At 39.2% G+C, this 17,621-nt stretch overlaps 1 annotated feature.

Annotated features, from left to right (window-relative positions):
- Nucleotides 1,984–3,942: an enhancer, noted in NCBI's record as "VISTA enhancer hs1387". NCBI's record gives its function as "enhancer in: neural tube[9/11] | hindbrain (rhombencephalon)[9/11] | midbrain (mesencephalon)[5/11] | tail[9/11]" and the evidence as "EXISTENCE:transgenic organism evidence [ECO:0001131][PMID:17130149]".

Genomic DNA, 17,621 nt, shown 5'->3' on the forward strand with positions numbered 1-17,621 from the left:
AAGACAAGCCTATGGACTTTGAAAATGTTCCTTTCTTGGCCTGTAATAAACTGCCAGGCTCATGGTTCTCATCCTTCATGCCTTGGTTTAGATCACTTCTTAGGTTCCGTACATGCTCAGATTCTGTGCTTCTATAGTTTTACAACAACAGAATCCTCTAGACAACTTGTAGTGACCAGGCTTAGCCACACACTCAGATGTGTAAGAAATCACTATTTCTTTGTTTTCATGAAGCTCAGTTTAAATCAGTTTCCAAGGCTTATTCCCACCACGGTGGGCAGAAATTTCATCTTAGTCACCATTGAGCACCTATCTCTCTGAGTCATTTTAGAATCTAGGACTTTCCATCCTTCAGCCCCTATCCTCCATCATGGCCAACTTCCTCTTTGTCACAGCTGACAGTGGCACCTCCCCACTCTAAGAAGCTCTCAGCTTTGGTGGGTGCAGAAACCTTGCTGAGGCAGACAGCTCTGTGTCTTGAGTCCAGTCACTGTTTGATGTCTTGGTGCTCTGAGAGGTACTGCCAGCTACGCAATGTGAAGGTCCTGCCATCTCTCACCTTCCACCTCTGATCTCTCTTGGAGTCCACAGAGCTCCTTCCATCCCAGGCGTCTGCAAACTTTTTCTGTAAAGGACCAGGTAGCAAATATGCTGGGGCATCACAGGCCTCACTATCTCTTTCACAGCTACTCAGCTCTGTTGCTGTAGTGCTAAAGCAGCCATAGACAACTCATAAATGAACGAGCATGCTACATTCCAATGACACTATATTCATGAACCCCAGAAATCTATTTTTGTAAAATGTGCATGTGTCACAAAATAATATTATTTACATTTTTTTTTCTTTTTTGAGATGAAGTCTCGCTCTGTAGCCCAGGCTGGAGTGCAGTGGCCCAATCTCAGTTCACTGCAACCTCTGCCTCCCAGGTTCAAGTGATTCTCCTGCCTCAGCCTCCCGAGTAGCTGTAATTACAGGCGCCTGCCACCATGCCCGGCCAATTTTTGTATTTTTAGTAGAGACAGGGCTTCAGCATATTGGCCAGGCTGGTCTCAAACTCTGGACCTCAAGTGATCCACCCACCTCAGCCTCCCAGAGTGCTGGGATTACAGGCATGAGCCACTATACCCGGCCTCTTCATGTCATTGTTTTAAAACCAATTCTAATGTTCAGACCATTAAAAAAATAGGCAATGGGCCAGATTTGGCACACATCCCAGAGATGGCCAAACTGCTCTATCCTCTTCTCATCTTCAAAAAGCTTAACATAGTTTGTTTCATGAGTGTGGACTTTTTGAAAATAAAGGCCATTTATTCATCATTCATTCATTCGGTTAACAAATCCTTATAAGGTGACTGTCCATCATCCCAGATTGCCTCGGATTAAGGAGTTTCATGGGATGTGGGATTTCTAAGTATTGAAATTGGAAAGTCCTAAGCAAACCAAGAGCATTGATCACCCAACCTATTAAGCGCCAGGTAACAAAGGTTCAGGAGTAAATGAGACAAAGTATTTGTCATTATGAAACTGGTATGGTCTTCGGGAAGGCAAGTGCCTTTGCCCACAACTCCTATCCTTGGTTTAAGATACACACCTCCCCTAACTCATTCCTGGCAAGTGCAGAAGGTCAGGGGAAAGTGCTTGAAGGAAAAAGCCCAAATTATCACCTCAACAGATTGTTCTATTACACAGTAAAGTACTGTGCATAATATTGATTCTAAGCGTCAAAGGCAGAGCAGCAAGAGTAAACATGTAAAAGTTCCCAAAATGCAAGGTGACTGAACCAAAGTCTCACCACACCCACCCTACCCACCCCCGAGGATTGATCCAGGGCTGGAACACTAGGCCCAGGGAGCAGAGTAAGGGCTTTCAGAGTAATCCAAGCACCTTTAGCATCTAGAGGTGAAAAACTCTAGAGATTTCTGTGGTACTAGCAAATGCAAACATCCTAAAATCATTTTATAAATATTGCGAGCAATTTCATTTGTTCAATCCTGTTGGTTCGATTCTGTGATTACATTTATAAATTCAATTTGACTTCATGAGAAAAGTCTAAATTTGAGGCCTGCTAGAAATGTGAGGCCCAGGCAAAAAAGTTCTCCTCTTCTCCTGTGCTCCTTGCCCATGCTCTCCCCTCCAAAAGAGTTTGATATAGTAACACAGCCTCAGCAGGGCCTTTTTTAATCAGGAAAGGCGTACACTTTGGGAGGACAAGATCACATGCCACAGTGGTGAGTGATGTACAGACAGGACCTCAGTCCCTATTTGACTCCTCTGTCGGGCAGCTTTGTGCAGTGCATAACCTGCACCGCTATACAGAGCTACCCTGAGACAGCTGTCCGGACTTCCAGGGAAGAAATCAGACCCTTTTGCTAAAGTTGGAGGAATAATGAATGGGGTGAATCTAATTGCTTCAGACCCCAGGGCAGTAAGTTGCTCCTTCGGAAGTGATTTCTGTCTTTCAATTGCTTGTGTTTTTGACAACTGGCTGTTTCTCACCTATTGTGTCTTCCTGTGGCTCTACTTGCAGAATGTGCCTTCAAACAGTGGGCTGAGCATGGGTTGGGAAAGCCTTTGAAAGCCAGCCAGGCAGAAAATTCAAGACAAAAGGTCTTCAAGCAGATATTATTGACATCCTTTAGTTAAGCAGCTGCTCTGGCTGTAGGAGGATAATAAAGAGTGTACCCTAAACCCTGCTTCAAAGGGGGACTTTGGCTTGGCTGAGGGGCTGGTTGTAGAAGCCTGTAGAACAAGTGCTTTTATACATCCTTCACCTACCTCGCCAGCTGAGAATTGTTCATCCGGTACTAGTGGGAAAGTCTCCCAAATGCACAGTCTGACAGCACTGCCTAGACAGTTCGTGATCAGGTTGCCATGTCAACAAGAAAATACCCTACTGGGGTTTTGTTTACTCATCACCAAGTTCTCAGTTTGTGTAGCTCTTAGCCATGAAAAAAGCTAAGAAATCTGATCTCTGACTTCCAGATTGCTTCTCTGGGCACTGGAATTATTTTGACCCCAGTGGGGAAGACTAGGAGTCTGCTAAGGCACCCATCGTCTATGGGGAGGGGTGAGAGAGCAAGAAGGGATGGAGCCTTCGGATGAAGCATCTTGAGTGTTTCATTGACAGGGGAAATAATATTTATGGAGTATCTGTCATGTGTCTGGAATTCTGCTACAAACTATGCAAATTTGATTTATCTTATTCTCACAACTATCCTGTAGTATTAATATTAGCCTGTGCATTTTATGGATGAGCAAAGAGAGGCTAAAAGGCCAAACGACAGATCAAGCTTCACTAAATAAGAACATGTGCATAAGATGGATTATTATGCAGCTGTTTAAAATAACATTTTTTTGTTGTTCTTGTATTTTTAGTAGAGACGGGGTTTCACCATGTTGGCCAGGCTGGCCCCAAACTCCTGACCTCAGGTGATCTGCCTGCCTCAGCCTCCCAAAGTGCTGGGATTACAGGCTTGAACCACTGTGCCCAGCCTAAAGTCACATTTTTGAAAGACATTTCATGACATGTTCACCTTGGCATATCGCTAAGAGAAAGAAAACAGAAGGCAAAACTGCACAATATAACATATCCAGGCCAGGCGCAGTGGCTCACAACTGTAATCCCAGCAGTTTGGGAGGTCAAGGTGGGCAGATTACTTGAGCCCAGAAGTTTGAGACCAGCCTGGCCAACACAGCAAAACCCTATCTCTACTATCTCTACTAAAAATACAAAAATAATTAGCCATGCATGGTGGTGCATGCCTGTAATCCCAGCTACTCCAGAGGCTGAGGCGGGATGATCACTTGAACCCAGGAGGTAGAGGTTGGAGTGAGCCAAGATCCAGCCTTGGCGACAGAGCAAGACTCTGTCTAAAATTAATAATAATAATAATAACATATCCATAGAAGATATATAGGATGAATAAATAGCCCTAGACACAAAATTATGGAGAATAATACTATGGAAATAACTGAAGATCACCCAAATGAGAACAAGCAAAGTCTATTTATTCAGAGCCTGCTATACAAGGGAGTCAGCCACCATCACTTGCATTTGACAAAGGATGAAAGGCGGGCAGAGGAATGGGAACACTTTACAGTGAAAAAAAAGGGAAGGCTTCAGGTGTGCCTTTATTGGAGGCTGTTGGCACAAGGAAGCTTGATGGGGCTGACCAGAAGCAGGACATCCTATGTGACTGGTTAGGGGAACATATTTGGCTTTCTCTGGTTTGTCCTAAGTGGGAAACAGAGATGCAAATTGGGAAGCTGACAGTCGTTGACCATGTCCTGACAGTCTGGGACCAATTACTGCAAAGGCTGTGGTTTAGCTTCTTGAACTGGTTGCTGTTAGGTTTTGGGTCAGAGTTCTATTTTTATATCTGATTGCACCATTGTTCATTTGTATATTCAGTCTCTCAATATACAAAATGATAGTAGTAATTATCACTAGGTTTCAGGACTACAATTGATTTTTTTCTTTCTAATTCTTTTCAGATTGTTCTAAATGTTCTATAATAAACAAGTGTTATTACTAACAATAAATAAATAACTGTTTTTATAAGGAAAAAGAAATCGAGTTACAAAAAGGTTCAGTAATTTTTCTGAAGTAACACAGCTAGTAAGTAATTTGCCTGGAATCGAACACAGATCTTTTAGATACTAATGCCTGAGCATTTTCCTGCCCTGTGTCTCCTAGGGATCTTCAGGGCTTGGACTGTTGTTGGGTGAGGGGAGGGGGGAGGGATAGCATTAGGAGATATACCTAATGCTAAATGAAGAGTTAATGGGTGCAGCACACCAGCATGGCACATGTATACATATGTAACTAACCTGCATATTGTGCACATGTACCCTAAAACTTAAAGTATAATAATAACAAAATAAAATAAAATAAAATAAAATAAAAAAGAAATGAAGAATGTAAACTTGTGTTGAAGAACTTATACAAACCAGCAGCTTCACAGACATCACTTTAAAAGTATCTTGTTAAGTCTCATTATTGAATAGCTAATACAGTTTCAAGATATATATTTCCAGGAAATTTGAATTCAAATAAAAGGTGATGATACTTTAGTTTTTAATCACTTATCAAATAATAAATAATTTTTTTAGGGGAGCATTCCCAAATACCTTTGAGGCACTAACAAGCACTCTGGACTACCTTCCCAAAAAGAAATGCACAAAACCAAAAAGTCTTGTTACAATTATGGAGGCCGACAGGCCAAAAACCTCTATTCTGATGGTAGATGTGTGACATCACTCACAAGCCTAGATGTAGGAAGATGTTTGAGATCAGTAGGAACTTTCTGTGTACTTTACAAAAATCATCCTGTTTATAATCAGGTGTGTCTATGTTTGGTGCAGCTCAATTCTGATTTATTTGTGGCTAACAGATGACAGTCAGGGGTGCCTCCTGCATAACTCTCAGAATTGTGTCAGGTGACCAACCAGTATGTGAAAAGTGAAATCCATACATAATACACAAATTTTACTTAGGCAAATAGCTAACACCCCCATTCCCCACTTCTTCCACTGCCAATTATTTTCTTACCACTGACACCCTAAAGGGCCAGTTTGACATCCTCTCTCTCTTATCCCTGTGAAATAATCAAAATAGGGATGAACAAACCATGAGATAATATATTCTCAGATCAACAACCTCTGAAGTTAGGGATCATGGTGAGTTACTTGGAATTCCACTTCTGGCATGGCAGTGTAAGCTCCTAACAAACTGAACACTCACATAACAACTGTAAGCTCTGGGAAAAATACAAAAACAACTACCCAAAGCTGTATAGAATGAGCAAAATAGGAAGATTTTGGAAGGAAGTCAAAACCTAGAAGAATGATGTAGAGTGAGATTCTTATTTTTATGGGTCTATCCTGTGAGCTGACTGTAGTCATTGCTGGCTTAAAGTGGTCAAAACTTCAACAGAAAACTCATTGTTTCTCTGGCCTGAAGAACCAGATGACAGAACTCAGGGCAACCATAGCTTATGGAAAATGAGAGACTAACGTTGTAAAAGAGAAATCCAAAGAAAGGGAGTCCCAGATTCTGTTTTCAAACTCTACCCAAGTCTCTGGGAAACCAATAAGTCATGCACACATGGGGCAAACACAAAGCAGTTTTCAGAGAAAGCTAAAAGAAATGAAGTTCAACTTGAAATTCTCACATCCACAACAGGATAGAGAGAATTTGTGGTTTGAATCTAACCAAGTTAATTGCTTACAAAAACAACAGCAACCCTCTTCAGAAGAATATAGCAGAACCCAGAATTGCCAAAGTACTGTATTCACAATGTTTAGCATACAATCCCAAGTTACACAACACGTAACAAGTCAGGATATAGTGATATATTATCAAGGAAAATGTAATCAACAGAGGTCAACTTTGAGATTGCCTAGATGCTGGAATTATCAGACAAAGACTTAAAACAGCTATTACGACTATGCTAAAGAAAATAAAGGAAAATATATGCAAAATGAATCAAAAAGAAAATGTCAGCAGAAAATAAGAACAATAAAAAAGAACTAAATGAAAATTCTAGAAAGAAAACATATAATATCTGAAAAAAATCACTGGGAATAGGCTTAATATTATCAACAGCATAGACATGAACAAAGAAAGGCTCAGTGAGCTTGAAGATAGATCAATACAAGTTATTCAACCTAAATAAAAGAGAGAAAAATAAACAGAGCCTCAGGGGCAACATCAAACATTAAGCCTGTGACACAACATCAAAAACTCTAACATATGTCACTGGAGTCCCAGTTAGAGAGGGCAGAGAAAATGAGCCACAAAAGTTATTTAAGGGAATATTAACCAAAATGACCTCCCAAATAGTGAATATATAAATTTACAAAGTCAAAAAGCATCAAACTCCAAACAGGATATATACAAGGAAAACCACACCCAGGGACATCCTAGTGAAGATATTGGAAAGGGAAAAAAGAAAAAAGAAAAAAATGTGAATCAGTAAGATTAAAATGACACAATAAATATAGGAAAATTATTTGAATGGCAGAGAAAAACAATATATTACATACAGAGGGACTGAAAGGCAAGACTCAAAAGACTCTCATCAGAAACTGTGGAGGACAAAAATGAGTGGAACGTTTTAAAAGGCTGAAAGAAAAACACTAAAATCCCAGAATTCTGTTTCAGCAAAAATATCCTTCTAGAATGAAGGAAAAAAATATGTCTTCAGATTTAAAAAATAATAACAGAATTCACTGCTAACAGACTTGTACTACAAAAAATGCTAAAGAAGTTCTTCGGGATGGAGAGAAGTAATATCAATATGAAACAGAGCTTCAAGAAATAATGAAGAGCATCAAAAACAATAAATGGCTATTTTCTCTAAATTTCTTTAAATTATAAATGACCGTTTAAAGAAAAAAACAATATACACACATTATGTGGTGGTCATAATGTATGGAGATGTAATCAATATGACAATTACAGCTTACCAGATAGTGGGGGAAAAGTAAAGGGAGCTATATAATTAAAAGATTTCTACATGTTACATAAATTGATATAACATTAACTGTAAATAGATTGTGAAAGTAAAGAATATATATTTTAATCCCTAGATTAATCGCTAAAAAATGCAAAGAGGTATAGCCAGAAAACAAGTAGGTAAATTATAACAGAATTCTAAAAAATATTCAGATATTCAAAAGAAGGCAGAAAAAGGGGAACATAGGAATGAAAAGCAAAGAGGAAACACAGGAAATTAAAATTGTAATTATAGACCTAAAGCTAATCATATAATAAGTACATTAAATGCTAGTGGTCTGTCTACTTTCATGCTTCAAAGGATATTATCAACTGAGTAGAAAGGCAACCCACAGTATAGAAGAAAATATTTGCCAATCACATATCTGATAATGGATTAGTATCCATGATATGTAGAGAACTCCTAAAATTCAACAATAACAAAACAAACAAACAACTTGATTCAAAGATAAGCAAATCAAAAGAGATAACATTTCACACCCCCTAGGATGGATATTATCAAAACAGAAAATAACAAGTATTGGTAAAGATGTAAGAAGTTGGAAACTTTGCACACTCTGATGAGAATACAAAATAGTGGAACTGCTTTAGAAAATAACGTGTGGCTCCTCAAAAAATTTAAAAAAGATTACCATATGATCCAGTAATTTCACTTTTGGATATATATTCAAAATAATTGAAAGCAGGGACACATTTGAACACCCATGTTTATAGCAGTACTATACATAACAGCCAAGAGGTGGAAGCAATCCATGTCCATTAATAGGTGAATGAATAAACAAAATGTGGCATATACACACAATAACATATTATTCAGCCTTAAAAGGGAAGGAAATTCTGACACATGCTACAACATGAATTAAACCTGAAGACATTATGCTAAGTGAAATAAGTTAGTCACAAAAGGGCAAATACTGAATGATTCTACTCATATAAGGAACCTAGAGTAGTCAATTCATAGAGACAGAAAGCAAAATGATAGGGCTGGGAAGGTGAGAATGAGGAGTTGTTTAAAGTTATGGAAACTTTTTGTTTATTTCTTTATCTCTAATTTCTGACATTTCTGAAGATTTTTCAGGAGTTTACAAAAGTTCTGAAGATGGATGGCGGTGATGGTTGCACAACAATGTGAATATGTTTAGTGCCACTGAATATTAGATGGCTAAAATGATAAATTTGATATGTATATTTTATACAATTTAAAATAAATAAATACATTTTTAAAAAAGACACTTGGGTCCCGTTCCAAGATGGCCAAATAGGAACAGCTCCACTCTGCAGCTCCCGGTGTGATTGATGCAGAAGATGGTGATTTCTGCATTTTCAACTGAGGTACCTAGTTCATCTCACTGGGACTGGTTGGACAGTGGGTGCAGGCCATGGAGAGTGAGCCAAAGCAGGGTAGGGCATCATCTCACCTGGGAAGTGCAAGGGGTCAGGGGATTTCCCTTTCCTAGCCAAGGGAAACCATGACAGACTGTACCTGGAAAATTGGGACACTCCCACCCAAACACAGCACTTTTCCAACAGTCTTAGCAAATGGCACACCAGGAGATTATATCCCGCACCTGGCTCGGTGGGTCCCACACCCATGGAGCCTTGCTCACTGCTAGCCCAGCAGTCCAAGATCAACCTGCGAGGCAGCAGCCTGGCTGGGGGAGGGGCATCTGCCATTGCTGAGGCTTGAGTAGGTAAACAAAGCAGCCAGGGAAGCTCAAACTCGGTGGAGCCCACTACAGCTCTGCAAGGCCTGCTGCCTCTGTACACCCCACCTCTGGGGGCAGGGCATAGCTGAACAAAAGGCAGCAGAAACTTCTGCCGACTTAAAAGTCCCTGTCTGACAGCTCTGAAGAGAGCAGTGGTTCTCCCAGCTTGGTGTTTGAGCTCTGAGAACGGACAGACTGCCTCTTCAAGTGGGTCCCTGACCCCCGTGTAGCCTAAGTGGGAGACACCTCCCAGTAGGGGCTGACTGACACCTCATACAGGTGGGTGCCCCTCTGGGACGAAGCTTCCAGAGGAAGGATCAGCCAGCAATATTTGCTGTTCTGCAATATTTGCTGCTCTGCAGCTTCTGCTGGTGATACTGAGGCAAAAAGGGTCTGGAGTGGACCTCCAGCAAACTCCAACAGACCTGCAGCTGAGGGACCTGATTGTTAGAAGGAAAACTAACAAACAGAAAGGAATAGCATCAATATCAACAAAAAGGACATCCACACCAAAACCCTATCTGTAGGTCACCATCATCAAAGACCAAAGGTAGATAAAACAACAAAGATGGGGAGAAACCAGAGCAGAAAAGTCAAAAATTCTAAAAACCAGAGTGTCTCTTCTCCTCCAAAGGATTGCAGCTCCTCGCCAGCAATGGAACAAAGCTGGATGGGGAATGGCTTTGACGAGCTGACAGAAGTAGGCTTCAGAAGGTCGGTAATAACTAACTTCTCCGAGCTAAAGGAGAATGTTTGAACCCATTGCAAGGAAGCTAAAAACCTTGAAAAAAGATTAGATGAGGCCGGGCACAGTGGCTCATGCCTGTAATCCCAGCACTTTGGAAGGCCGAGGCGGGCGGATCACGAGGTAAGGAGATTGAGACCATCCTGGCTAACACGGTGAAACCCCGTCTCTACTAATAAATAGAAAAAATTAGCCAGGTGTGGTGGCGGGCGCCTGTAGTCCCAGCTACTCAGGAGGCTAAGGCAGGAGAATGGGGTGAACCCGGGAGGTGGAGTTTGCAGTGAGCAGAGATCGCACCACTGCACTCCAGCCTGGGCGACACAGTGAGACTCTGTCTCAAACAAACAAACAAAAAAAAGATTTGACGAATGGCTAACTAGAATAAACAGTGTGGAGAAGACTTTAAATGACTTGATGGAGCTGAAAACCATGGCATGAGAACTACATGACACATGCACAAGCTTCAATAGCTGATTCGATCAAGTGGAAGAAAGAGTATCAGTGATTGAAGATCAGATTAATGAAATAAAGCAAGAAGAGAAGTTTAGAGAAAAAAGAGTAAAAAGAAACAAACAAAGCCTCCAAGAAATATGGGACTATGTGAAAAGACCAAATCTATGTCTGAATGGTGTACCTGAAAGTGACGGGGAGAATTGAACCAAGCTGGAAAACACTCTGCAGGATATTATCCAGGAGAACTTCCCCAACCTAGCAAGGCAGGCTAACATTCAAATTCAGGAAATACAGAGAACACCACAAAGATACTCCTCCAGAAGAGCAACCCAAGACACATAATTGTCTATTCACCAAGGTTGCAATGAAGGAAAAAATGTTAAGGGCAGCCAGAGAGAAAGATCGAGTTACCCACGAAGGGAAGCCCATCAGACTAATATCAGATCTCTTGGCAGGAACTCTATAAGCCAGAATAGAATGGGGGCCAATATTCAACATTCTTAAAGAAAAGAATTTTCAACCCAGAATTTCATATCCAGCCAAACTAAGCTTCATAAGTGAAGGAGAAATAAAATCTTTACAGACAAGTAAATGCTGAGAGATTATGTCACCACCAGGCCTGCCTTACAAGAGCTCCTGAAGGAAGCACTAAACATGGAAAGGAAAAACCGGTACTAGCCACTGCAAAAACATGCCAAATTGTAAAGACCATCAATGCTAAGAAGAAACTGCATCAACTAACAGATGAAGTAACCAGCTAACATCATAATGACAGGATCAAATTCACACATAACAATATTAACCTTAAATGTAAATAGGCTAAATGCCCCAATTAAAAGACACAGACTGGCAAATTGGATAAAAGAGTCCAGACCCATCAGTGTGCTGTATTCAGGAGACCCATCCCATGTGCACAGACACACATTGGCTCAAAATAAAGGGATGCAGGAAGACCTACAAGGCAAATGGAAAGCAAAAAAAAAGTAGGGGTTGCAATCTTGGTCTCTGATAAAACAGACTTTAAACCAACAAAGATCAAAAGAGACAAAGAAGGCCATTACATAATGGTAAAGGGATCAATTCAACAAGAAGAGCTAACTATCCTACATATATATGCACCCAATACAGGAGCACCCCGATTTGTAAAGCAAGTCCTTAGAGACCAACAAAGAGACTTAGACTCCCACACAATAATAACAGGAGACTTTAACACCCTACCGTCAATATTAGACAGATCAATGAGACAAAAGGTTAATAAGGATATCCAGGACTTGAACTCAGCTCTGCACCAAGCAGACCTAATAGACATCTAAAGAACTCTCCACCCCAAATCAACAGAATATACATTCTTCTCAGCACCACATCACACTTATTCCAAAATTGACCACATAGTTGGAAGTAAAGCACTCCTCAGCAAATGTAAAAGAACAGAAATCACAACAAACTGTCTCTCAGACCACAGTGCAATCAAATTAGAACTCAGGATTAAGAAACTCACTCAAAACCGCACAACTACATGGAAACTGAACAACCTGCTCCTGAATGACTACTGGGTACATAACAAAATGAAGGCAGAAATAAAGATGTTCTTTGGAACCAATGAGAACAAAGACACAATGTACCAGAATCTCTGGGACACATTTAAAGCAGTGTGTAGAGGGAAATTTATAGCACTAAATGCCCACAAGACAAAGCAGGAAAGATCTAAAACTGACACCCTAACATCACTATTAAAAGAACTAGAGAAGCAAGAGCAAACACATTCAAAAGCTAGCAGAAGACAAGAAATAACTAAGATCAGAGCAGAACTGAAGGAAATAGAGACACAAAAAACCCTTCAAAAATCAATGAATCCAGGAGCCGGTTTTTTGAAAAGATCAACAAAATTGATAGACTGCTAGCAAGACTAATAAAGAAGAAAAGAGAGAAAAATCAAATAGATGCAATAAAAAATGATAAAGGGGATATCGGCACTGATCCCACCGAAATACAAACTACCATCAGAGAATACTATAAACACCTCTACACAAATAAACTAGAAAATCTAGAAGAAATGCATAAATTCCTGGACACATACACCATCCCAAGACTAAAGCAGGAAGAAGTTGAATCTCTGAATAGTCCAATAACAGGCTCTAAAATTGAGGCAATAATTAGTAGCCTACCAACCAAAAAAAGCCCAGAACCAGATGGATTCAGTCAAATTCTACCAGAGGTACAAAGAGGAGCTGGTACCATTCCTTCTGAAACTATTCCAATCAATAGAAAAAGAGGGAATTGTCCCTAACTCATTTTATGAAGCCAGCATCATTCTGATACCAAAGCCTGGCAGATACACAACAAAAAAAAGATAATTTTAGACCAATATCCCTGATAAACATCGATGCAAAAATCCTCAATAAAATACTGGCAAAACGAATCCAGCAGCACATCAAAAAGCTTATCCACCACAATCAAGTCAGCTTCATCCCTGGGATGCAAGGCTGGTTCAATATACACAAATCAATAAATGTAATCCATCACATAAACAGAACCAAAGACAAAAACCACATGATTATCTCAATAGATACAGAAAAGGCCTTTGAGAAAATTCAACAGCCCTTCATGCTAAAAACTCTCAATAAACTAGGTATTGATGGAACATATCTCAAAATAATAAGAGCTATTTATGACAAACCCACAGCCAATATCATACTGAATGGGCAAAAACTGGAAGCACTCCCTTTGAAAACTGGCACAAGACAGGAAGCCCTCTCTCACCACTCCTATTCAACATAGTGTTGGAAGTTCTGGCCAGGGCAATCAGGCAAGAGAAGGAAATAAAGGGTATTCAATTAGGAAAAGAGGAAGTCAAATTGTCCCTGTTTGCAGATGATAAGATTGTATATTTAGAAAACCCCATTGTCTCAGTCCAAAATCTCCTTAAGTTGATAAGCAACTTTACCAAAGTCTCAGGATACAAAATCAATGTGCAAAATTCACAAGCATTCCAATAACAGACAGAGAGCCAAATCATGAGTGAACTCCATTCACAATTGCTACAAAGATAATACCTAGGAATCCAACTTATAATGGATGTGAAAGACCTCTTCAAGGAGAACTACAAACCACTGCTCAGCGAAATAAAAGAGGACACAAACTAATGGAAGAACATTCCATGCTCATGGATAGGAAGAATCAATATCATGAAAATGGCCATACTGCCCAAGGTAATTTATAGATTCAATGCCATCCCCATCAAGCTACCAATTACTTTCTTCACAGAATTGGAAAAAACTACTTTAAAGTTCATATGGAACCAAAAGAGAGCCCACATATTCAATACAATCCTAAGCCAAAAGAACAAAGCTGGAGGCATCACGCTACCTGACTTCAAACTATACTACAAGGCTACAGTAACCAAAACAGCATGGTACTGGTACCAAAACAGAGAGATAGACCAATGGAACAGAACAGAGGCCTCAGAAATAACACCACACATCTACAACCATCTGATCTTTGACAAACCTGAGAAAAACAAGAAATGGAGAAAGGATTCCCTATTTAATAAGTGGTGCTGGGAAAACTGGCTAGCCATATGTAGAAAGCTGAAACTGGATCCCTTCCTTACACCTTATACAAAAATTAATGCAAGTTGGACTAAGACTGAAATGTTAGACCTAAAATCATAAAAAGCCTAGAAGAAAACCTAGGCAATACCATTCAGGACATAGGCATGGGCAAGGACTTCAGGTCTAAAACACCAAAAGCAATGGCAGCAAAAGCCAAAATAGACAAATGGGATCTAATTAAACTAGAGAGCTTCTGCACAGCAAAAGAAACTACCATCAGAGTGAATAGGCAACCTACAGAATGGGAGAAAAATTTTGCAATCTACCCATCTGACAAAGGGCTACTATCCAGAATCTACAAAGAACTTAAACAAATTTACAAGAAAAAAACAAACAACCCCATCAAAAAGTGGGCAAAGGATATGAACAGACACTTCTCAAAAGAAGACATTTATGCAGCCAACAGACACATGAAAATAAGCTCATCATCCCTGGTCATCAGAGAAATGCAAATCAAAACCACAATGAGATACCATCTCATACCAGTTAGAATGGCAATCATAAAAAAGTCAGGAAACAACAGATGCTGGAGAGGATGTGAAGAAATAGGAACGCTTTTACCCTTTTGGTGGGCGTGTAAAGTAGTTCAACGATTGTGGAAGACAGTGTGGTGATTCCTCAAGGATCTAGAACTAGAAATACCATTTGTCCCAGCAATCCCATTACTGAGTATATATCCAAAGGATTATAATTCATGCTACTATAAAGACACACGCACACGTATGTTTATTGCGGCACTACTCACAACAGCAAAAACTTGGAATCAACCCAAATGTCCATCAATGATAGAGTAGATTAAGAAAATGTGGCATACATACACCATGATTGAATACTATGCAGCCATAAAAAGGGGTGAGTTCATGTCCTTTGCAGGGACATGGATGCAACTGGAAACCATCATTCTGAGCAAACTATCACAAGGACAGAAAACCAAACACCACATGTTCTCACTCATAGGTGGGAATTGGACAATGAGAACACTTGGACACAGGGCGGGGAACATCACACCCTGGGGCCTGTCCTGGGGTGGGGGCCAGGGGGAAGGACAGCATTAGGAGAAATACCTAATGTAAACGACGAGTTAATGGGTGCAGCAAACCAACATGGCACATGTATACGTATGTAACAAACCTGCACATTGTGCACATGTACCCTCGAACTTCAAGTATTAAAAAAAAAGACACTTGGAACAAATACATTTTTTAAAAGATATTCAACTATATTGGCCCTTTTTACTTGTCAGGAGTTTACATACTTTTATTAACATTCCATTACATCTCCTAAGGAGTAGGTGTCATTAGTCCTGTTTTACTGATACAGTTATCAAAGCTCAGTGAAATTTTTAATAAGAAATATAAGTGCTGAGATTTATTGAACTCTTATTCTATACCTAGCCCATGCTGAGCTCTTTACATATATATATGTGTGTGTGCTAGTAACCTAAACATTACAATTAAAAGGCAGAGTTGCAAAGAACTTGAAAGAGAACTACTATTCAATCCAGCAATCCCATTACTGAGTATACACCAAGAGGAAAATAAATTGTTTTACCAAAGATACAGGCACTCATATGTTGATCTCAGCACTATTCACAATAGCAAAGGCATGGAATCAACCTAAGTGCTCATCATCAGTGGATTGAATAAAGAAAATATGGTGCATATACATCATGGAATGCTATGCAGCCATAAAAAGAATAAACTCATGTTTTTTGAAGCAACATGGATGCAGCTGGAGGCCATTATCCTAAGCAACTTAATACATGAATGGAAAACCAAATACCACACATTCTCACTTATAAGGGGGAGCTAAATATTGGGTACTCATGGACATAAAGATGGCAACAATAGACAGTGGGGACTATTAGAGGGGGAAGGGAGGGAAGGGATAAGGGTTGATACACTAACCAATGGATACTATGCTCACTACCTGGGTGATAGGATCAATCATAGCCCAAACCTCAGTAACACACAATGTACCCATGTAACAAACGTGCAAATGTACCCCTGAGTCTAAAATAAAAGTTGACATTATAAAAATAAATAAATAAATGGCAGAGATTATCAGAATGAATACAAATGTAGAACCCAACTGTATGTTGCCTACGAGAGATACACTTTAAATAGAAAGACACATATAGCTTAAAAGTATATGAATGGAAAAATATATACAATGCTCAGTCACATAAGGAGACTAGAGTAGCCATATCAGATAAAATAGACTTCAAGACAAAAGAGTATTACAGAAATAAAAATCTTCATAAGGATCAAATAATCAATGCATTAGGAAGATATAACAATCATAAATATGTTAACATAAACATATTAACAATAGAGTATCAAAAAAAATGAAGTAAAAAAAGTGACAGAACCCCTGCAAGCATGCTTTTTCTATGGTCTTGGTGTGAGCTGAGTGTATTTCTCCACATCTTGACTTCGGCCAAATGACTTAGTTGGACCAATGACTTGAAAGTGAAAGAGATAGAGTGCCAATTCCAACCCTAAGTCTTTAGAGTCATAGCAGATTTCTGCTTGCTTTCTTGTGTCTCAGCCTTATCCATGAGAAGAATATGACCTGGCTGGCCATTGGTCCAAATATAGTAAGGGACACATAGAGGAGAAATATCTGGCTAACCAGCAGACTTGCAGCTTAAAGCAGAGCCACCCAGCCAAGTCAAGATGAGCTTAGCCATGACTAGATGAACCCTGGACTCTGCATAGGTACTTAAGCAAGTTCATTTGAGATCAGTAAAATCATCCTAGCCAGCCTGCAGAAACATGAGAAACAAATGCTTACTGTGAAACAAAAAAAAATGACAGAACCAAGTGTAGACATCAACAGTTCTGCAATAATGGTAGAAGGTGTTCACGCTTCTCTCTCAGCAATTGATGAACAACTAGTCAAAAGATCATTAAAGACATGGATGATCTGTATAACATCACCAAACTCTTTGGCCTAATTGATATTTATACTATTTATACAAATTACATCCCAAAATGACACAATACACATTCTTTTCAAGAGCCTATCATACATTTATCAAGATAGAATGTATTCCGAACCATAGAAAGTTTCAATAAATTTAAAATCATTGAATCCGTGTTCTCTGACTACAACAAAATTAAACTAGAAGCCAATAGATATATTTGGAAATTAGATAACATACTTCTAAATAATTCATTGGTCAAAAAAAGAAATCACAAGAGAAATCAGAAAATATTTTAAACTGAATTGGGAATAAAAATACAACATAACAATGTGTTAGATGCAGTGAAGACAATGATTATAAAGAAATGAGCTTCTTCAAATGCTTATATGAGAAAAGAAGAAATACTATGAAATTGATTGCTTAAACTTCCACCTTTATAAGCTAGAGAAAGAGGAAAACACAAAGTAAAACAAAGGAAGTAGAAAAGAAATAGAAATAAAAGCAGAAATCAATGAAAAAGAAAACTAACAAAAAACATAGAAAATTAACACAGCCAAAAGTTGGTTCTTCAAAAATATTAACAAAATTGACAAGCCCATAGCAAGTCTAATCATGGGTAAAAGAGAATACACAAATCACCAACATCAGAAGTGAACA

The sequence above is a fragment of the Homo sapiens genome, chromosome 3 (genome assembly GCF_000001405.40).
Source record: "Homo sapiens chromosome 3, GRCh38.p14 Primary Assembly".
NCBI lineage: Eukaryota > Metazoa > Chordata > Mammalia > Primates > Hominidae > Homo > Homo sapiens.